General features: G+C 43.3%; 1 protein-coding gene across 9 annotated transcripts in view, besides 3 other annotated features; it reads left to right on the top strand.

Moving 5' to 3' along the window:
* Positions 10977 to 11326: a silencer, noted in NCBI's record as "silent region_5219". NCBI's record gives its function as "represses an Ori minimal core promoter by ATAC-STARR-seq in GM12878 lymphoblastoid cells {active_cell/tissue: GM12878}" and the evidence as "EXISTENCE:reporter gene assay evidence [ECO:0000049][PMID:35858748]".
* MTUS2 (microtubule associated scaffold protein 2) overlaps positions 11136 to 22122 on the top strand; it is a 685985-nt gene continuing 674998 nt past the window's right edge. For 7 of the 9 annotated variants that reach the window (XM_011535019.4, NM_001033602.4, NM_001366650.1 and 4 more), the window contains exon 1: positions 11512 to 11784. The gene's annotated coding sequence lies outside the window, so the exon portion shown is untranslated. Of the gene's footprint in view, positions 11459 to 11511; positions 11785 to 22122 lie in introns of those variants that run through there. The other 2 variants (XM_047430227.1, NM_001384605.1) reach the window with 1 other exon arrangement.
* Positions 11386 to 11886: an enhancer, noted in NCBI's record as "H3K4me1 hESC enhancer chr13:29394350-29394850 (GRCh37/hg19 assembly coordinates)". NCBI's record gives its function as "activates a minimal SCP1, AML or CMV promoter by ChIP-STARR-seq in primed H9 embryonic stem cells {active_cell/tissue: H9 hESC(primed)}" and the evidence as "EXISTENCE:reporter gene assay evidence [ECO:0000049][PMID:30033119]".
* Positions 11417 to 11486: a silencer, noted in NCBI's record as "silent region_5220". NCBI's record gives its function as "represses an Ori minimal core promoter by ATAC-STARR-seq in GM12878 lymphoblastoid cells {active_cell/tissue: GM12878}" and the evidence as "EXISTENCE:reporter gene assay evidence [ECO:0000049][PMID:35858748]".

Below are 22122 nucleotides of genomic sequence, written 5' to 3' on the forward strand. Positions count from 1 at the left end.
AGCAAATAAATGATCTAAGGTTGGAACTTATATTTAAAGGGGAAGCAGAGCATAAAAGTTTGGAAAGTTTGCAGACTGACCATATAGAGAAAAGAAAAGCCCATTTTCAGGGGATGAATCCAAGCAGTCTGTGGAGCAAGCATTTGCTAGAGAAATTTGCGAGACTAAAAAGGCAAGTGCCAATAGCCAAGACAAAGGGGAAAAGGCCTCAAAGAGGACTTTTGAGACCTCACATTTCAGAGACCTTGTGGCAGCCTCTCCCATCACAGGCCCAAAGGCCTGGGACAAGAGAATGGTTTAGTGTGCCAGGCCCAGGGACGTGCTACCCTGTGCAGCCTGCTACTGTGTGCAGTCTCAGGACACTGCTCCCCATATCCCAGGCACTCTAGCTCTAACTCCAGTTGTGGCTCAGAGGGGCCCAAGTGAAGCTTGGGCCATTGCTTCAGAGGGTGCAAGCCATGAGCCTTGGTGACTTCCATGTGGTGTTAAGTCTGTGGGTGCACGGAATGCAAGAGTGGAAGTTTGGAGCTTCTGCCTAGATTTAAGAGAATGTATGGAAAAGCGTGGATGTCCAGAGAGAAGCCTAATGCAGGGGTGGAGCCCTCATGGAGAACCTCTATTAGGGCAGTGGGAAGGGGAAATGTGGGGTAGGAGCCCCACAGAGAGTCCCCACTGGGACATTGCCTAGTGGAGCTGTGAGAAGAGGACCACCATCCACTAGACCCTAGAATAGTTGATCCATCAAGTGCTTCCACCCCGCACCTGGAAAAGCCACAGGTGCTCAACGCCAGCCCATGAGAGCAGCCATGGGGGTTGAACCCTGCAAAGACACAAGGGCAGAGCTGCCCAAGGCCCTGGGAGCCCACCTCTCATACCAGTGTGCACTGGGTGTGAAACATGGAGTCAAGGAGATTATTTTGGAGCTTTAAGATTTAGTGACTGTCCTGCTGGGTTTCAGATTTGCATGGGGCCTATAGCCCCTTTCTTTTGTCAGAGTTCTCCTTTTTGGAATGGGAATATTTACTCAACCCTTGTACCCTTATTGCATCTTGGAAGTAACTAATTTGTTTTTGACTTCACAGGCTCATAGGTGGAAGGGACTTGTCTTGTCTCAAATGAGACGTTGGACTTTTGAGTTAATGCTGGAATGAGTTAAGACTTTGAAGGACAGTTGAGAAGGGATGATTGTATTTTGCAATGTGAGAAAGACATGAGATTTGGGGAGACTGGCTTTGGATCTGTGTCCCCATCCAAATCTCAAGTGAAATTGTAATCCCCAGTGTTGGAGGTGGGGCCTGGTGGGAGGTGGTTGGATCATGGGGGTGGATTTTTCCATGTATGGCTCAGCACCATCCTCTTGGTGTTGTTCTCATGATAGTGGGTGAGTTCTCACAAGATCTGGTTGTTTAAAAGCATGTAGCACCTCCCCCCATACCTCTCTTTCTTCTGCTCCTACCATGTGAGATGCCTGCTCCCCTTTGCTTTCCACCATGATTGGAAGCTTCCTGAGGCCTCCCCAGAAGCAGAAGCCACCGCATTTCCTATACAGCCTGCAGAACTATGAGCCAGTTAAACCTCTTTTCTCATAAAATACCCAGTCTCTGGTATTTCTTTATAGCAGTGTGAGAACAGACTAACATGTACATTTAATGTGCTCTTCCAAAATTTGTATGTTGACATATAACATCCAAGGTGACGGCATTTGGAAATAAGGCCTTTGGGAGGTAATAAGGTCATGAAAGTGTACCTTTCATAAATGGGATTTGTGCCCTTATAGGAAGAGACATGAAAACTAGATCACTATTTTTTCACCATTTGAGGATATAAGAAAAGGCTTTAGCCACCTGCAAAGCTGAAGAGAACCCTCACCAGAACCTGACCATGCTGGCACCCTGATCTTAGGTTTATAGCTTCCAGAGCTGTGAGACATATGTTTCTGTTGTTTATAAGCCATTGAGTTTATGATATTTTATTATATCAGCCTGAGCTGATTAAAACAAAAGGCAGGCCGGATACGGTGGCGCACGCCTGTAATCCCAGTACTTAGGGAGGCTGAGGCGGGCGGATCACGAGGTCAGGAGATCGAGACCATCCTGGCTAACATGGTGAAACCCCATCTCTACTAAACAAAATACAAAAAAAATTCTCTGGGCATGGTGGCAGGCACCTGTAGTCCCAGCTACCCGGGAGGCTGAGGCAGGAGAATGGCGTGAACCTGGGAGGCGGAGCTTGCAGTGAGCCAAGATAGTGCCACTGCACTCCAGCCTGGGTGATAGAGCGACACTCCGTCTCAAACAAAAACAAAAACAAACAAACAAAAAACAAAAAGCAAATAATATTATTAGACCCTTGAGGGCTTCAGGTATTAGACTAATCAAATGTAAAAATTAAAAAAAAAAAATCCCAACATGTTCACTAAAATTAAACACCAGTTTCAAAATATGAGAAAAAAAGAGATTATAAAATGGACAGGCATATTTGAAAAAGAACTGACTGAAATGAAAAAAGAAACTATAAGAAATGAAAAAGAACTAAAACGAATGTCAAGACAAGTTTAAAATGGGGTAAACTGATGATTAGGCATTACAGATTTAAAAATTAGTGAAATGGGCTGGGCGCAGTGGCTCACACCTGTAATCCAAGGACTTTGGGAGGCTGAGGTGGGTAGATCACTTGAGGTCAGGAGTTCGATACCAACCTGACCAACATGGCGAAATCCCTTCTCTACTAAAAATCCAAAAATTAGCTGGGTGTGCTGGTGCAGGCCTGTAATCCCACCTACTTGGGAGGCTGAAGTGGGAGGATTGGTTGAACTTGGGAGGCAGAGGTTGCAGTCAGCCGAGATGGAGTCACTGCACTCCAGCCTGGGTGACAGAGGGAGATTCTGTCTCAAGAAAAAACAATTAGTGAAATGGAATAAAGATGTGAAGAAGTTATCCAGAATGTAGAGGGAAAGAGAGAATGAGAGACTAAGACAGTGGGAGACAGAAGGGAACAGAGAGAAAAAAAGGAAAATAAGAAAAATTGATTAAGGGACATGGAATAGAATAAGAAAGTACAACGTGCATTTAATTGGAATTGCAAAAACATACAATGGGGAAAATCAATATTAGAAGATAGTATTAGAGAGTTTTCCAAAATTGATAAAAGACAAGAATTCTTAGATGTAGGAAGCACAATAAACCATGAGCAAAAGAAAGAAAAATAAATCCACACATAGACACAAAGAGGCAAACTTTGAAATAACCAAGACAATGGGAAAATCTTATAAGCAAACATAGAAGAGATAGATCACTTCCAATGGCATAATTGGATTGGTAGCTGACTTCCTAGCAGCATCACCTGAAGTCTGAAGACAATGGGAAAACATTTTCTAAAAGCTGAAAGAAAAGTAATTGTTAACTTAGAATTGTAAAAGTGGAAAACTATCACGCAAAAATGAAAATGAAATAAAGACATTTTTAGAAATACAAACTGGAGAGTATTTCTAACCAATAAACATTCACAAAGGAATTTTTGATGATGCACTTCCAAAAAGAAGGAAACTGATCCCAGAATGAAGATCTACGATTTAAGAAGGAATGATGAGAAAACACTCACTATAAAATAGTAACACTCACTATAAAATAGCCTAATTCTCAAGGTAAAAGAACCCCACTAAAATATTTCCTGATATAATGTAGAACAGGTGGAGAATCATTGGTGTATAAGTGCTCAAAAGTTGTTTTTTTTTTGTGGGGGGAGACACAAGACGTAAAAAAATTAGAATTTGGCTGGGCTCAGTGGCTCACGCCTTGTAATCCCAGCACTTTGGGAGACCGAGGCAGGTGGATCACCCGAGGTCGGGAGTTTGAGACCTGACCAACATGGAGAAACCCCGTCTACTAAAAATACAAAATTAGCCAGGTGTGGTGGTGCATGCCTGTAATCCCAGCTACTCAGGAGGCTGAGGCAGGAGAATTGCTTGAACCTGTGAGGTGGAGGTTGTGGTGAGCCGAGATCGCACCATTGCACTCTAGCCCTGGGCAACAAGAGCGAAACTCCGTCTCAAAAAAGAAAAAACATTAGAATTTCCAGTTACTACATGTTACAAGTTTAAATATAACTACTGGGAGAAAAAAATATAGTGTATAATTTTTAAAACAGAGAATAAAAAACAATGGAAAGTTTCCCTTAGTCAATCCAAGGAAGGTAGAAAAGAAGAAAAGATGCATTGAAAAGCAGGACCAATAGAAAGCACAAAATTGTATGGCAGAAATAGGTTCTATTATATAAGTCGTTGAAATGTTTTAAATGGGGCAGATCCACAGGTTAAAAGATAAATGTCGTCAGACTGAATAAAAATAACCAGATATTGCAAGCTTACAAGGAACATACCTAAGAAAGCACAGAAAGGTAAAATGATGGAAAAAGATATATGCCTCTTATTTACCAAAAGGAAGCTTCTGTAGAAATGCTTACAGGAGAAGAAAATATATTTTAAGGTAAACAGTTTTAAGGAAAGAGTCACTTCATAATTATAAAATATATTTTACCAAGAATATATAGCATTTCAAAACTTATTTGCCTCTAGTAACGTAGCTTCAATACATATACAAAGCAGCAGCTCACAGGATTGCAAAGAGAAATTAACAAATTCAGCATCACAGTGGGGGATTGTAATACTCTCAGTAATTGATAGCTCATGAAGACAAACTCAGAAAAGATAGACTACTTGGATGAAAAAAATTAAAAAGCTCAATCTAAAAAGTCCAATGTAGAGCCCTACACCTAAATTAGAAGATACACATTCTTCTCAAGAATGTGCAGTATTTTTGAGTAGGCCGCAAAGCAAGTGTATATCTATTTCAAAGAATTTGTATCAAAAAGACCATGTTTTCTGGCCACAATTAAATTAAATTAAAAATAGCAAAAAGATATCTAAAAAAGCCTCATGCATTTAGAAATTAACACACTTCTAAAATAATTCATGGGTCAAAGAAGAAATCACAACGGAAATTAAGAACTTTATAATTTAATGATATTGAAAGTACTGTAGCTAAAAATGTGTGGGAAATATATATGTGCAAAAAAAGACAGGAAATATATATGTGCAAAAAAAGATTGAAGAATCATGAGCTAAGTTTTCAATTTGGAAGTGAGAAAAAGAATAGAATAAGCCCAAAGAACATAGAATAAAGGAAAAAATAATAATCAGAACAGAAATTAGTAAACTTGTAAAGAAAATACAGTAGGGTCAACAAAGTCAAAAGCTGGTTCTTTAAAAAGACAAAAAGGAGACAAACTTCAGGCTTAATGAATTAAGAAAACAAATATTAAGAAAAAAGTCACATCTAAACAATATTAGAAAAAAATGGCTGTAACTATAGAAGTAGCAGGTATTTAAAACGAGTAAGAAAATACTATGAAGAGAGCACTGCAATGACGATATATATATATAAACAACTCCATGCTAGTTGTGAAGGATACAGAACTGTCCCTTAAAGGAAGGACTCGCCTCAGCTCTTGGCAATGCTGTGAGCAGATTGTCTTGGGCCGTCTACTCCTTGTGTTTGCCTCACCTGCAGAGAGCCCCCTCGCCCAAGAATACACCTTCCCTGGAAAGTCCATAGCCAATGGTGGATCTGGTAGGGACATAGAGACCTTAACCATTCAGCCCACCCTGGGACAATTCTGAATGAGTCCTACATGTAGCAGTGTGCATGTAAATGTTTAATAACGGGCTCCTTTAAGGAAAACATCCTGATTTGCAGTGTTTGCTAATTTCTGTGGTGAAAATACATCCTCCATAGATGGTTTCAAGCTACCAAAGTAGTATCACTAAATGTGAAGTTGGGAATAGATGCAAAATAGTACACTACTACATAGTATTTCCATCATACAGCTATGCCAGTGGTAAATAAACTCAACACTGGCCAGGGGGAGGTGGCTTACACCTGTAATCCCAGTACTTTGGGAGGCACAGGTGGGAGGATCGCTTGAGATCAGGAGTTCGGGAGCAGACTGAGCAATATAGCAAGACCCGGTCTCAATTAAAAAAAGAAAAACAAAAAAACCTCAACAGTGTACTTTACTGCTCATGTAGTAATTAGGGAAGGATGAGTTTTGAGTATTCACTTTGTTTTCAATAAATAAATGTAATTGTAGGTTTATATAATTTAATCTTTAATAATGGCTGTTTTAACAACCAATTCACAAAAATTTAACAAGTGATGCTCAGGAGCTGGTAGGAGCAGGCTCAGCACACCACTCTGTATGTGCTCCAGGACTTCTTGTGGTTAGGACAGCGGCTTTGTTGGACTTGAATCATGGTTCAAACTCTCCCTCTGTCCAATCCTGGCTCCCATCCCTTCCCAGAGGCCCTGACCCCTAATACCTACCTTGCTCTCTGGTACATCAGTTGGCTACCCAAGTGTTATTCATGACTTGCAAACGCCACTCTATTCTTTCTTCCTCAGGCTTTTCCCACTGGCATTTCATCATTTTGGAATTTCACAAGGCAGATGCCTCTGTTCTACCCACATGCTCCTCAGTCTAGTAAGGCCCTGGGAAAAGGCTCCAGCAGACACCTGTGCTGCCCTGCACATCTCCTTGGCTCCCTCTCAGCCATAGTTCTGATGGGTGCTCCCTGTGAGTTGACAATGTCTTATCTCAAGGATGCGGCTATGGGTCACTCTGATTCTCTGCCTAGAGCCTTTTCTAAAGCACTAGGCGCCTTTGGGAGTTAAAGCTCCACAGGCAATTCCAATCAATGGAGAACAGGAGCCCAGAGGGTAAATGCTCGGCCCTGTGTCTTTGAAATGACCATTGTAAGCTCCTCAGAGATCCAAGTGGTATTATGTCCTTGTGTGCCTGTTACATATAACAGTGGCCTTGAGAATATACTTTTAAGTTGCCTTTCATACTTCTCTGTCTTAACATCTCAATTTCATCATTCCTGCTTCCTGAGATCACCTTCAAAAATAAACTATCTAGCTGGGCGTGGTGGCTCACACCCGTAATCCCAGCAGGATTGAGAGGCTGAGGTGTGTGGATCACGAGGTGAGGAGTTCGAGACCATTCTGGCCAACGTGGTGAAACCCCATCTCTACTAAAAATACAAATATTAGCCGGGCACGGCGGCGGGCGCCTATAATCCCAGCTACTCAGGAGGCTGAGGAAGGAGAATAACTTGAAGCCGGGAGGTGGAGTTTGCAGTGAGCCGATATTGCACCACTGCACTTCAGTCTGGGCAACAGAGCAAGACTCTGCCTCAAAAAACAAACAAACAAACAAAAAACAATAACAATTAACTATCTGTATCCAAGTCATTCTACCAGTCTCTGCTTTGGGAAGGAATCTACACTACGATACTTGATACACTATGATACTTGCTGATCATATATATATATATATATATATATATATATATATATATATTTAATTCAAGAGAACATTCTACTCTTCCTTTCACAGCTTTTTTTTTTTTTAATTTAATTTGGCTGGGCGCGGTGGTTCATGCCTGTAATCCCAGTACTTTGGGAGGCTGAGGCGGGCGGATCACTTGGGGTCAGGAGTTCGAGAACAGCCTTGCCAACATGGTGAAAACCCATCTTAACTAAAAATACAAAAATTAGCCTGGATATGGTGGCATGCACCTGTAATCCCAGCTACTCGGGAGGCGGAGGCAGGATAATAACTTGAACCTGGAGGTGGAGGTTGTGGCGAGCTGAGATTGTGCCACTGCACTCCAGCCTGGGTGACAGAGTGAAACACCATCTCAAAAAAAATTAATTTTATTTTAGATTCAGGGGGTACATGTGCCTGTTTGTTACATGAGCATACTGGAGATTGGGCTTCTAGTGTACCCATTACCCAAACAGTGAACACTGTACCCCATAGGTAATTTTTCAGCTCTCGCCCCCTGCCCACCCTCCCCTCTTTTGGTGACCCAGTGTCTATTATTTCCATCTTTATGTCCATGTGTACTCATTGTTTAGCTCCCACTTATAAGTGAGAATGTGTGGTACTTGGTTTTCTGTTTCTGAATTACTTCACTTAGGATAATGGCCTCCAGCTCCAGCCCATGTCACTGCAAGAGACATGATTTCATTCTTTTTGATGGCTGCATAATATTCCATGATGCATTAATATATGGACCACATCTTCTTTATCCAGTCAACTGTTCATTGACATTCAGGTTGGCTCCATGATTTTGCCATTGTTCTTTTCACAGTTTCTAAATACAGCATAACCAACTGTTAAAATAAGACTTATCTTGGAATGCTGCCAGGTGGGCCAATAGATAACTATGACAGTTTGGGACCTCTGAAAAGCAGATGTCAAGATAGGATTAGATGTGCCAAAATATTTTAAAGAAAACACCTGTGCAGGATAGTGCAGGAGGGAGAAGGAGCCTGGCATGCAGGTGAGGAGTGCCTTCTGACTGCAATACAGGTCTGACACTTGTGAATGGAGAGAGGGAAGGGAAGAAGATTGGGTAGGAAGAGCTCCAGACTGCAGCACATTCTGAGAAAGCCCTGGTAGGGTGGTAGGAATTCCAGAGCAAAGACTGCCCACTAGAGGCAGAAAGGGCATAGCTCTAGCGCTCTCACCATGTTCCGTTGTGAGCTGGAAACAGCTGGGGAATGTGTGACCTTGGTATGAGCTCTGTGGTGGATCCAAATGTGTGACAGCTGAAGGCTGTCAGTTGCTCAAGCTTCCAAGATCTCAGGGGATCACCTCCCTCCATGCCACCACACAGATAGGTATCCCCACACATAAATCCATATAAATGGAGGTATTGGACCATCTTTGTAGGATTTGCTAAGTTGGGGTTCTGCCACCTTCAGACCAAATTGAAGGAAAGGAGAGAGCAATCAAGGGAGAAGATGAGAACGACACGGTGCTGACAGGGAGAAGGAGGACCCACCCACTTCATGCAAAGAAAGGCATGCTTCCAAAGAACTACTTGGAGAGCCTGGCATGTGTCACCTGGAGTGTGGGGACATGCATGAACCCAGAGATGGCTGAGAAGCTTCAAGGAAAGAGGCCGGTCAGAGTTACCTGTGACCAGAGAAGAAGAAAAGAGAACTGCAGTGACAGTGGCCTGCACTTCTATAGCGTGATGGGCCAAATGCCAGTTGGTGTCCGTGGGTCAGCACGCACGTGGTGGAAGGTAGCTGGGACTGACTGCCAGGGCATGGTGCCTTGCAGAGGGCCTGAATGAGGCTGACCACCAGTGAAGCTGAGGCTGAAGTTGCAGGGTCAGAACCCCACCCTGCCCAACTTGAGAAACCAGTGTTTTTTTTTTTTTTGAAACGGATCTCGCTCTGTCGCCAGGCTGGAGTGCAGTGGAGCGATCTCCGTGAACTGCAACCTCCACCTCCCGGGTTCAAGCGATTCTCCTGCCTCAGCCTCCGAGTAGAGGAGCCTAGAGGCATGTGGCACCATGTCCAGCTAAACTTTTTGTATTTTTCATAGAGACGGGGTTTCACCACGTTGGCCAGGATGGTCTCGATCTCTTGACCTCGTGATTCATCCACCTCGGCCTCCCAAAGTGCTGAGATTATAGGCGTGAGCCACCGCATCCGGCTTCTTTTTTTGACAGAGGCTTGCTCTGTCGCCCAGTTGGAGTGCAGTGGCATGATCTCGGCTCATTGCAACTTCCACCTCCCAGGTTCAAGCAATTCTCCTGAGGAGATGGAATTGCAGGTGCACGCCACCACACCCAGCTAATTTTTGTATTTTTAGTAGAGACAGGGTTTCACCATGTTGGCCAGGCTGGTCTCGAACTCCTGACCTCAAGTAATCCACCGGCCTCAGCCTCCCAAAGTGCTGGGATTACAAGCGTGAGCCTCCGTGCCCGGCGGTGGAACCCGTCTTCACAGAGCTAGCTGGGGAGAACACAGAAGCAGGAAGCGAAGGTCGTTTTCCTCCTCCTTGCAGGCTTCTGAGCTTGGGTCAGGTTGGGGTCTGGTGGGTGGTGGGAGGCTAGTGGGGAAGGCTTGAATGGATTGCGATTAAAGTTTTGATTTGGATTGGGCTGGACTTTTTATTATCAGCAAATCTGACTGTTTATGAACACCTGAAAGTGACAGGAAAAGCTATGAAATTTGCCCCAGATTCTTCCAGGGGAGAAGGGAGAGCTTCTGGAATAATTTTTAAAGACAGTGGTCTGAAAAAAAAAAGTGCCATTTCATGATTTCCCTTCACCAAGTAGTCCAGTTGGTTAAAAAAAAAAATTAACTGTCATAAAGTATTGGTTAACACAGTGGTTTGGAAAGACATCCCCTAAAAACAAAAAACGCCAACCTAAATAGTGCAAAGACCAGCAACATCGTTTCATCTTTATAATGGTAAATGTTTATTCCATTGCTGTTTGAATCAGTCTGCAGAAGTCCTCTGGTTTCGCTTGCCTTTTCAAACCTCCAGGTGCACCGCGTGAGGGAGTCTGAGCATTTCAGGTAGGACTGGAAAAAGGTCTTTGAGAAATCATTAATTAATCTATTTACCTTACCATAAGAGCAGTCAAGGCTCGCTGGAACCCCTCGGACAGTGGGGAGGCACATTTGGTGCTCATTAAACATAGAAATAAGCTTGCTTCTAGAAAGAAACGCCTGCCTTTTGCGCAAATCTTTTCAGAGACTGGCTTTGGGCTCCTATGAATCAGGCACCCTAGCGTCCTCCAAAGTTCTTCCCGATGCTGAACCCCAATGCCTCCTGCTGCGCCTAATTCGAAGCGGCTCCCTCTTCTGTTCTGAGCGGAAAACAGCGGAACCCATTCCTGGAGGCCTGCCCTGGAACGGCCAACTCATTCTTACTCCTTTCTCCTGGGGTCCGATGCTAGGGCACCACGGTGACCAGCCGCGCAGCGGGCAGCGGCCCGCGCCGCGCCCACCGCCTGCGGAGGCTGGGTCTGGGTCTGGGTCTGGGGCTGGAGCTGGGGCTGGGGCTGAGGCGGGAGCTGGGGCGGGGGCGGGGGCTGGGGCTGGGGCTGGGGCTGGGGCTGGGGCTGGGGCTGGGGCGGGCAGGCGCGCGCGCAGGAGCGGGCGCAGGGGCCGTCGGCAGAGGGCGCTACGGCTCCCGGCTGCGGAGCTGCGACGCGGGGCGCGGGGCGCGGAGCGCGGGCCGGGAGGAGGCGCCTGGGTCTCGGCGAGTGCGTCTCCGGGCGGCCGGGAGGGGGTGCGCGCATCAGCTGCCCCGCGCCGCCTACCGCTCGGGCCCGCTCGCCGCCCGGCCACTGTCACCGCGGACGGCACCTCGCGGGCGAGGCGCGCCGGCTGCGTGGCGCGCTGCGAAGGTTGGGCTGGGCGGCCGCCGGCCCCGCGGCTTCTCTTTGTCCAGGCGAGGCGGCTGGAGGAGCAGCCGCGGCCGCGGCGGAGCCGGGAGCGCCTGGGCGTCGTGCGGGCGGCTCCGGTCCCCGGCTGCGCCCCGGCCCTCGAGCGGGGGCGGCGGCCTGGGCGGTGCCTGCGCCGAGGTGAGTGCGGGGGCGCGGAGCGGAGCGCAGCCGCGGCGCGGGCGTGGGCGGGCAGAGGTGATAGCGAGCGCCGGCGGCTCCAGGTGCGGGGGCGCCCCTCGCGCTCCACCTGCGCCGCCGCCGCCGGCTCTCAGGGCAAGTTTATCTCCCCCCTTCTGCGGAAACCCTTGACCGCTTAGCGGAGTACAGACCTGTCGGTAAATAGAAAACTCGAGCTGGAGAGGAGGAGGAAGCAGCGTGGCGGAACCCGGCCCGAGATGAGCGTCTCCGTGAGGGCAGTGGTGGCCTCTTGGACATTACATCTTTCTTGGCTCTTTTTGACCCAGGTGAGCGAATCCTCTGCTGCGCGGTCCGGTGGGGTCGGCTGGCTCTGCTGCCGCCCTCTGGACCCGCCGGAGACAGGTGAGCGGAGTTGGGGAGCGCGCAGCCGGGCTCGGGGCAGCGCCGGGCTGGTTCGGCTTCTCGTCTCCAGAGCGCTGATGCTTCCTGCCCACATCACCTGCTCTGGCTTAGGGACTGCAGCTCTTTTGGCACCTTCGCTTGCTGCCAGGTTCAACACCCACTGCTTTAGAGGCGTTGGTAGGTTAGTTAAGGCGAGTTCTCCCCTACCCACCCCCAGCTTTGGATAATTTGGTCTGAGTCTTCGTCTTAATTTAGTATGAGTGTGTTATTTCCTTCAAGCTTTATAATGGTAAAGCAGTGAAGCGGCTTGCTACATCCATTTTTTTTTTTCATTCTGTGCCTGTGCACAGAAGGAATTACAGGCACACAAGTGATGTTACTACCATTCTATTTTAAATACAAACACGGAAAGAAGTACTCTTGGCAGGATACCAAAGGCGCCTGTACTCTCTGTTATATAAATGCTTAAAAAAATTTGCTCATTGGTAAAGTTATGTGTGATTACCAGAGCACCTAAGAAGAGAGTGTCATGCTTTTAGTTTACTTGGAGATAAGCAGTGGTCTTAGCTTGAGGTACCCTTTTAAGATAATATAGGACCCTATATTAAAAAAGTCATTAGGTATAATTGTAAAGCATTAAAAAATTGGTTTTGTAAAGTCTATTAGGAATTGGTGAGAATTCTTTGACTACTTATTGATAAAAAGATCCTACATGTATACTTTCTAGTTTTCAAACTATTGAATGATTTTATTTTTATCTCTGATGGAAACTTAGTAATTGTGAGTTGCCAGTTATTAAAGATGTGTCTCTCTTTCCCTTCCCTTTCCCCAGGCCCCAAAACCAGTACTCACATTTATGGCTATTTTTTTCAGGTAAAAATACAAAAGTAGAAAACATCAGATATACTGATGGCTGGGAACAGCCCTTGTCCCTCCTCCACCCAGTATTCTGTTCTAATTGGTCTGGGCTGATACCTTGATACCTGTAATGTTAAAAAGCTTTCCTGGTGATTCTAACGTGTAGCCAGGGGTGAGACCCATTGTGGAGCATTGTATTGTCACTTTCTGTAGCCTATGGTGTTGCTACAGTGGTTTAAGGTAAGTCAAAAATACGTTGTTAGAAACATGGGAAGAAAAAAATGGTATTGGAAAGGGGACACATCAGAGAATTACAGCATGTAGACTTTTGTGTTTTGTCTAAATGCTCTTTCTTGATTTTCCTGCGAAGAGTAGTTGATGTTTATTAGGGACCCATAATTCCATGTAGAATACTTACGGGAATCTTAAGTGATATATTTCATTTGCAGAAGTACCAATGAAAGTTGAGTAGTAGTGGCAGGATATTCATTTATGTTTACACGGTAAAGTAAGTCATAGGAAAGATTATTTTCCATATCAAATTAAAAACTTTTACTATAAACTAGTAAATTAAGTGCAAAAAGTTTTTATTGTTTTTAAGGTCAGAAAGAAACCTGGCCTCTGAGTCAGTGTTTTCTGTCTCCCTTATGTAATCCCAAATATCCAAATCTAGGAGCAGATCTTATGGATGGTTTATGAAGGCTTATGTAAGAGCTATGACTGTGCTTTTGGTACTCCATTAAACTCCCTGTTTGGGCTATTACATAATTGACACGGAACTAGACTGTTAAAGCCAAAATCCAGGAGGATGCCGAAACCCACTCCGGCATACGCACTTTTATAATGAATTGCTGTTGCCAAATTGGAGGGAACAGCAGGGATGGTGGTTTGTGAAAGAGAGGTAAGAATAGCATCTGGGGGATTGATGTAATAGAAGACTGTTATGCTTAGCGATTTTCTAGAGATTTGAATGCTGTGGCAGAAACCTCTCTAGTCCTTTCTATCTCCAGCAGAGGCAGATCGACTGGGGAGCTAATGAACCTAAGCCTCAGGTCCCTCCGTCACAGAGGCTTCTTTGGAGCCCTCTGGGAGGGGCACTGGCAGTGTGTTCATGTGGTCATCCCTGAGTTTGTATTTGTACTTTTGGATTTTTTTTTTAAATAAGGAGAGTACTCTTTCTATATTCCCACCCCCCAATTATATAAACCCAAGGTTCCACAGACCCTGAATCTATCCCTGTCTTCAAACCTGTGTTCAAGTATTAACTTATAAAATTGCCTATTCTTAGTTTAATTTTTGTCATCTGAAAAGATGAAAAAAATCTGTACAATATCATAGTTGACTTGCTGAGAAAATGCAAACTGCTATAACCTAGGGCTGTATAGAGCCACTGAAATCAGGCACATACCTGGAGAACTAGCTCTTTGCCTCGTGATCGCACACACATGGGATTGTTTTGGATCAGTGTGTGAGCTGGAGGTGGAGAAGAGTGGAAACGGGTTGGGGAAGGGAGGAAAGTGGGTTAAAGCTCTTCCTCCTCTCAGAGGCAGGATGCCAAGGGGAAAGGAAGGAAAACTATTGAAAGATGCTTCATTAATAAAATGTTAATAGGAACAGATAGCATCAGCTCCATAGGAGATCCTTCTGTAAGCTCAGGATTGGTCTCTAATACGAATTTTCAACAGTAAGCAAACAAACTCATTCCTCGAAAATATCCTACAGGAAACAAATGCAGGTTTGGAAGGACTAGATGAGTATCTGCTTGTTCCCATTAGCAGTTTTTATGAGCAAGTGGGAGGCTTATAATATCTACCACACACATGTTTGAAACGAGTTGTTGAAAAGAGTCAAGGAGTTTCCCCTTTTCTCTGAAATGATTTCTACTTCCTATGTGAATTTGGATGCCTTTAGATCTTATCATCTTGACCCTTCCCACCAACGGGTATACCTTGTCTATCAATTACCCATCCATCAGTCATCTATCTACCATCCACCCACCCATCCACAGAGACTCTCTTTTTGACCAAACTTTAGTCAGGCTCCCCTGAGCCCTCTTCTCAACTGGGCCTCAACCTTGGCCCGTAAGAACTGCAGCTTTCAACACAAACAATTTTGTCTGTGCTCCCACCCTCCAACGGATTTGAAAACACTGTAGCATGGTGTATTAGCCTGTTCTCACCTTGCTGATAAAGACATACCCAAGACTGGGTAATATATAAAGGAAAGAGGTTTAATTGACTCATATAGTTCAGCATGGCTGGGGAGGCCTCAGGAAACATAGAATCACGGTGGAAGGGGAAGCAAACACGTCCTTCTTCACATGGCAGCAGGAGAGAAAAATGAGCAAAAGGGGGAAAAACACCGTATAAAACCAGCAGATTTCATGAGAACTTACTGTCGCGAGAACAACATGAGGGTAGTTCCCCCATGATTAAATTACCTCCCACCTAGTCCCTCTCATGACACATGGGGATTATGGGAATTATAATTCATGATGACATTTGGGTGGGGACACAGCCAAACCATATAACATGGCATCTAGCAGCCTAAGGCCATGTGTCTGGGATCACCCAGCCTCACTTGCATTCCTACCTAGAAAAGCTCAAGGCTGCCCCAAAGAATTTATCTTTTGTTCTAGCCCACACAAATGATAATAGGCCCCTGACTTTCATTTTGTTAGATCGTTTATTAAAAACTTACAATTGTAATTCTTTCTCTGTGCCTTTGAGATATATGTGTATCTCCTACCACCTGGAGTGTCTTCCTCAGTGTCTGTGAGCCATTCCTTTGAAGTGTAATCATCAGGGAGGATAGGGCTCTGTCCTCTAGTCTCTGTAGATGGGTAGGAGCCTAACTTTGACAAGTGCCATTTAGCAGTCACAGATGGCCTAGTCTCATTGGCAAGCCCCCTTGCCTGATTGCTGTAATGTTCTGTGTCCTTGACCCTGCTTGAGCCCCCACACATTCTCATTTCTCCTCCCTACTTCCTTATTCTCCCTTTAAAACACCCAGTCACCTCTACCTGAATTGGAGTTGAGCTCAGTTCTATACTGAAGTCTCTTTCTCTCACTGCAGTTGTACTGGGTAAAATCTGTCTTTACTGCCTTTAACCAGTGTCTAGCTTTTTTTTTTTTTTTTAAACACCATCCAACAAAAAAGTTTGAGTGTCTCCATAGGCCAGGCACTTTTACATATTAGGTATAGAGCAGCAAATAAAACAGACAAAAACTGCATCCTTGAGGAACTTACAGTGTAATGGAATGAATCAGATGAGGTTAAGTACTTAATATATCAGGTATGGATACTGCTATGGAGAAAATAAATCAGAGATGGGGGAGCAGGAGTGGGTTATGGGGAATTGCTATTTCAAGTAGTGTGGTCAGGGAATGCCTCACTGAAAGGAGATGTTGAGCAGAGCCCTAAAGGAGATGGAAGAGTGAGCCACCTGACCAGAGTGCAGCTGGCATTTGTGGGGAGCACAGGGAGGCAGCTGCAGGCCGCAGTGGGGGAATCTCATGCTCATGGCCAGCTTTTCCTCATGACAGCAGCCCCATCCCCCACTCCAGCCACCTGAGGCTGCCCACGAACACTGGTGTTGTTCTTGGGGCCTTAGTGGTATGGTGGCTTGGAACTGAGGACCTCTCAGGGCATCGGAATCCAGCCTAGACCATACCTGAATAGGAGTAAGGAATGAGAGTGTATGTTTTCAATGATGGCTCCCACTGGTTTGTCATAGGAAAGAGGCTGGGGGCAAGCTCACTCCAGCCTGGATTCCCTGCAGTCACCCTGGGAACAAATGGAACTATGATGTATAAAAGATGTGGACAGTGGAAACCACACGGCTCTTTCTCGAGGAATGTCTTAATATCAGGAACCTAGAACAACTTTCTGATTTGAACTGAGCCTAGAGAGAATCCCCAGCTTAAAGGGAACTGGGGTTGGTTAGGGTTTGAGGAGGGGAAATTACTCAGTCATTGACCGAGGCTCCTGCATGCCCAGATGGCTGCTCAACATCTGCTAACCAGAACAACACACACACACACACCCCTGGCAACAGGCTGTCATGAATTTCTCCATGGAGAAGGTGAAGAAACCATTGGGGAGCAGCAGCCAGGGCCTGTCTGCTGGTTTTTAGTTACAGCCTTTCTATACTCATGGGGACAGGGGTATGGAACCAGGATGGGATAGCTGTTTCATTTTTTAAGCTGTTAGCTTGTAACCATTTTAAACTCTCAACAACCAAAACACAAATCTCTCATATAGAGGTTCCTTGGATTGTTTGCTGGTGGGTAGGGAGCATCACAGCAGCTTGAGTGAGCATATGCAGCTGGCATTGGGGAGGTGGCATTTATAGGAGTCTGGTGTTCCTGACTCTTCTCTGTGCCTGTCATGACTTCATGTGGTCTCTTACTTTGCAAGCTTCTCTCACGTGCCCTATTGTATTTGGAAAATGGGGAACTTAAGGTCATTCCTGGGTATTTGATACTCCTCTTTAGCTTTTGTAAGTGGGCCTTCTTCTAATTGGTTGTATATATTCTATATGTTGGTTGTATTACATATAACCAATAATTGATATATAGAAAGCTATTCTAAAATGTAATGTAACCAAGCACTTTTCAAGCTCTTATTAATTATAACCTTGTTTTGTGGTTATTTTCCTTGGATTTTCCAGATAGATGGTCATATCATCTGCTAAATAAGTAAATAAATCAATAAATTTAAAATACATGGTTAGATGAATGAATAGATAAAAAATGATTACTTTGGTCTCTTTATTTCTATTTTTTATTATCAGACTAGATAGAAGACGAGACTGTTTATCTGTTGAGAGATTTTAAAAACAAGATTATTGTATTTCAGCCAAATGTACTTCCCTTGTCCCAGAGAGGATAGGCTATATGATCTCTGAGGTCCTCTCCTTATTAGTCTTTTTACTCTGTTTACTGTAGACCCATTGTACCAGTATGTTCAGTTCCCATAGAAAAACAAAAGAGTGTTTACACACAGTCATTATAGATAAGCCAGCAGTGTGTGTGATTAGGGCCAAACCAGTATTGATGATGGCCTGATACTGACTTTAGAAAGTTTGACTCACCTTGCAGAAATGAAAAGCCAACATAATGCATTAGCGTCTATGAAGACTGTAATAAGGCAAATACATTTGTCCAGAAACAGGCTGATATTGATACACTGATTTTAAGTGCTTTTCCCCAAAAGTACAATAGAGAAAGCCAGGAATATATAGCCTTGGATTACAATAAATGATAATAAAACAGCAGAAGCAAATAACACTTAATAGGGAAGTTTATTTTCCACACTTCATCAGATTGCTACTGCAGAGTACTAGTCTAAAAATTTAATATGAACACTAGCTCTGTAAATACGGGAGAAGTAATCTCAAATCATCCTGAATTAATTATCTTTGTGCTAAGCTGTTTGACATTACTCATTGAAAATAGCTTCTCAAGACAGGCAGTATTTTTCTACACACAAATAATTGTGTTCTCAGGTTGGAAATGTTGCCACATATTAAGCCAAACACATTTTTTTGCTTCTAATTCTTATATTACTATCAGTTTATTTCAGGGAAAGTTAATTTGAGAATTGAAATCATGTAGCAGAATAATTTTGGTTGAAATTGATGTTTCTAAGCCTGATGCATTTTCCATTAGTGTTACATGGTATCATTGGAAGTTTGTACAGTGAACATGCCAAACATTAGGTTTAGTTTTCTGAAGACTCTAGCAAGTATTCTTTTTTTTTAAATCCACATTGTATTAGTTTAACTGGCAGGTAGTAATTAGTTTTATATTGAGTGAGCTAATTTGCCACTACTAGCAGATTTTGAAGTTATTTTAATATAAATACATTGTCCTCTACCCCCAAACTTTATACTGAAATTTTTCTGCTAAATTTTAGGATTATAATTTTGATAATGGCCCAGGATATTGGAATAAAATATAAATGTGAGTTAGCATTAATATCTCAGTTTAGAGAATAACAATAAAAGCAGGAATGTGACCTGCAGCCACATTTCTTCAGTATCGGGGGAAATTCAGCCCCCAATATTTGACGTGGGTCCTTTTCTATTTTCCCTAAGTATTGGCCGGTCTGAGAAATAAAGGGAAATAGTACAAAAGAGAGAAATTTTAGAGCTGGGTGTCTGGGGGAGACATCACATGTTGGCAGGTTCCGTGATGCCCCTCAAGCCGCAAAACCAGCAAGTTTTTATTAGTGATTTTCAAAAGGGGAGGGAGTGTACGAATAGTGTGTGGGTCACAGAGATCACATGCTTCACAAGGTAATAAAATATCACATGGCAAATGGAGGCAGGGTGAGATCACAGGACCGGGGTGAAATTAAAATCGCTAATGAAGTTTTGGGCATGCATTGTCATTGATAACATCTTATCAGGAGACAGGGTTTGAGAGCAGACAACTAGTCTGACCAAAATTTATTAGGCGGGAATTTCCTCGTCTTAATAAGCCTGGGAGCGCTACGGGAGACTGGGGCTTATTTCACCGCTTATCCACAACCGTAAAAGACAGACGTTCCCAAAGTGGCCATTTCAGAGACCTCCCCTTGGGAATGCATTCTCTTTCTCAGGGGTGTTCCTTGCTGAGAAAAAGAATTCAGCGATATTTCTCCTATTTGCTCTTGAAAGAAGAGAAATATGGCTCTGTTCTGCCAAGCCCACAGGCAGCCAGACTTTAAGGTTATCTCCCTTGTTCCCTCAACATTGCTGTTATCCTGTTCTTTTTTCAAGGTACCCAGATTTCATATTGTTTAAACAATTTGTGCAGTTAACACAATCATCACAGGGTCCTGAGGTGACATTCATCCTCAGCTTATGAAGATGACAGGATTAAGCAATTAAAGTAAAGACAGGCATAGGAAATCACAAGAGCATTGATTGGGGAAGTGATAAATGGCCATGAAATCTTCACAATTTATCTTCAGAGATTGCAGTAAAGACAGGTGTAAGAAATTATAAAATTATTAATTTGGGGAACTAATAAATGTCCATGAAATCTTTACAATTTATGTTCTTCTGCCATGGCTTCAGCCGGTCCCTCCGTTCGGGGTCCCTGACTTCCTGCAACACTCCAGGGTCAGCAGTAGAGAGAGGCTAGTTGAGCACTTGCCTCAGGTACAAAATTTAAGGGACACCAAGACACTTAGTAATACAAATAAATATTTTATGCATTTTAGAAAATCAAGATTAATGCAAAAAATCCATAATGAACAAAATATCAAAATTTTAAAGGAAGACAGGATCAGTATTACTGAGTTTTCCTTTTGTGTCAGGCTCCAGTTTGGTTTGTAATAGCACTGTTACTGATCCTATCTATAAAGTTTTAATATTTCGTTCATCATGGATTTTTTACATTAATTTTGATTTCCTAAAAATATTGCATTAATATATTATTTATCTTGGAACACATCTGAATTATTGGAGTAAAGACATTCTGAAAAGTCTCTCCTGCACAATAACAATGAAAGCACTGGCAAAAATATCAAAATAAACCATTTTAGAATGGTGGAAATTAACGAAGGGTTTATAACAATCTGAGGAATATTTATTCAAGAAAAAGGACTGAATCTCAGTAAGAACAGTGAACTTTGTCATTTTTAAACTTACCTTATTCCCATTCCTTCATCCGCAGCTCCATTGTAGCCTTCAAAACTAATAGCCTAAGTCAGGCACAGTGGCTCACACCTGTAATCCTAGCACTTAGAGAGGCTGAGACAGGTGGGTCACCTGAGGTCAGGAGTTTGAGACCAGCCTGGCCAACAAGGTGAAATGCTGTCTCTCCTAAAAGTACAAAAAAAAAAATTAGCCAGGCATGGTGGTGTGTGTATGTAATCTCAGCTACTTGGGAGGCTGAGGCAGGAGAATCGCTTGAACCCGGGAGGTGGAGGTTGCAGTGAGCTGAGATTGCGCCACTGAACTCCAGCCTGAATGACAGAGTAGGACTCCGTCTAAAAAAAAAAACAAACAATAACTAATAGCCTAGAAGCCACTGAAAGGGACAAAACAGGTTTAGAGCCCTCTAAGATCCCCAGTCTCAGAAAATTGTCACTATATGATTGCTCTAGAAGCTTCTTAAAAAACTCCATTCTCAAAGCTTGTTTTGCAGAGCCCTGTGGCATTTTTGGAAAACAATCAGCAGTAATTGTTTAACCTCTCAGCTGCCTGAGGCAGTGACACCAGTTGGGGTTAACAAGAGGTTAACCAAAAAACTTAAAAGGAAAAATTGGAAAAGGAGCTACCTATGGGGGCTTTAAAAACCTTTGATGTAGTCTTTGGAATCTAGAAGTCCCATGTCTGTATGTCCAGGAAATACTTAATAAGGCCTTAATCTGTCATCTCAGACTAACAATGAGGCTTTGCATAAGTAAAGTAGGAAGAGAAGACTAAGAGTTGTAAACTACCTGCTGGAGTGTTAAAAGCATGTACCCCACCCCCCAACACGCGTAATCCCTCAGCAAAGACAGAAATCTCTGTACCGTCATTAGCTGACCACTGAAGCTAGACTTCAGCAGCTGCACATGATAAACAAAGTAGACTTTACATAATTAGTCTGGGAAATAGCAATAGAAACAATAGTAGCAACAAATATAACAACAAACCTTTATGCAGAGTGGAATCTTATTTCTAGGTTGCCATATTTTTTTAAATCCAGTTTTCAACATAAAATTTCCACACACACAAGCAGTAGCATATGGGCCATAACAGGAAAAACAAAAGTATCCCTGAGAAAGTCCAGATACTGGACTTAGTAGACAAACATTTTAAATTAGCTATTATAAATGTGTTCGAAGAGCTGAAGGAAACCTTGTCTGAAGAATTAAAGTAGAAAAATGATGTCTCTTCAAATAGAGAATATCAATAAAGGGGGAAATTGTTAAAAAAGGAACAAAATAGAAATTATGGAATTGAAAAGTACAATGATTGAAATGAAAAAATTTACTAGAGAGGCTCATCAACAGATTTGAACTAGCAGAAGAAAGAATCGGCAAACTTGAAAATAAATCAATTGAAATTATATACTATGAGGAACAGAAAGTCAAAGGAATGAAGAGAAATGAACAGAACATCAGATTTATGGGACACCATTATGAATACCAACATATGTATAATTGAAATCTCAAAAGGAAAAGAATGAGAGTAAGGGGACAGAAAGATTACTTGAGGAAATAATGGACAAAAACTCAAGCAGCAAGAGAGAAGTGAGTAATCATGTACAGAGGATCTTCAATAAGATTAACAGCTGACTTCTCATCAGAAACTGGAGGCTAGAAGATAGTGGAATGATGTATTGAAAATGCTGAAAGACAAAAAAACTGTCAATCAAGAATTCTATATCCAGCAAAACTATTATTCAAAAAAGAACAAAAGA

Source organism: Homo sapiens, chromosome 13 (genome assembly GCF_000001405.40).
Source record: "Homo sapiens chromosome 13, GRCh38.p14 Primary Assembly".
NCBI lineage: Eukaryota > Metazoa > Chordata > Mammalia > Primates > Hominidae > Homo > Homo sapiens.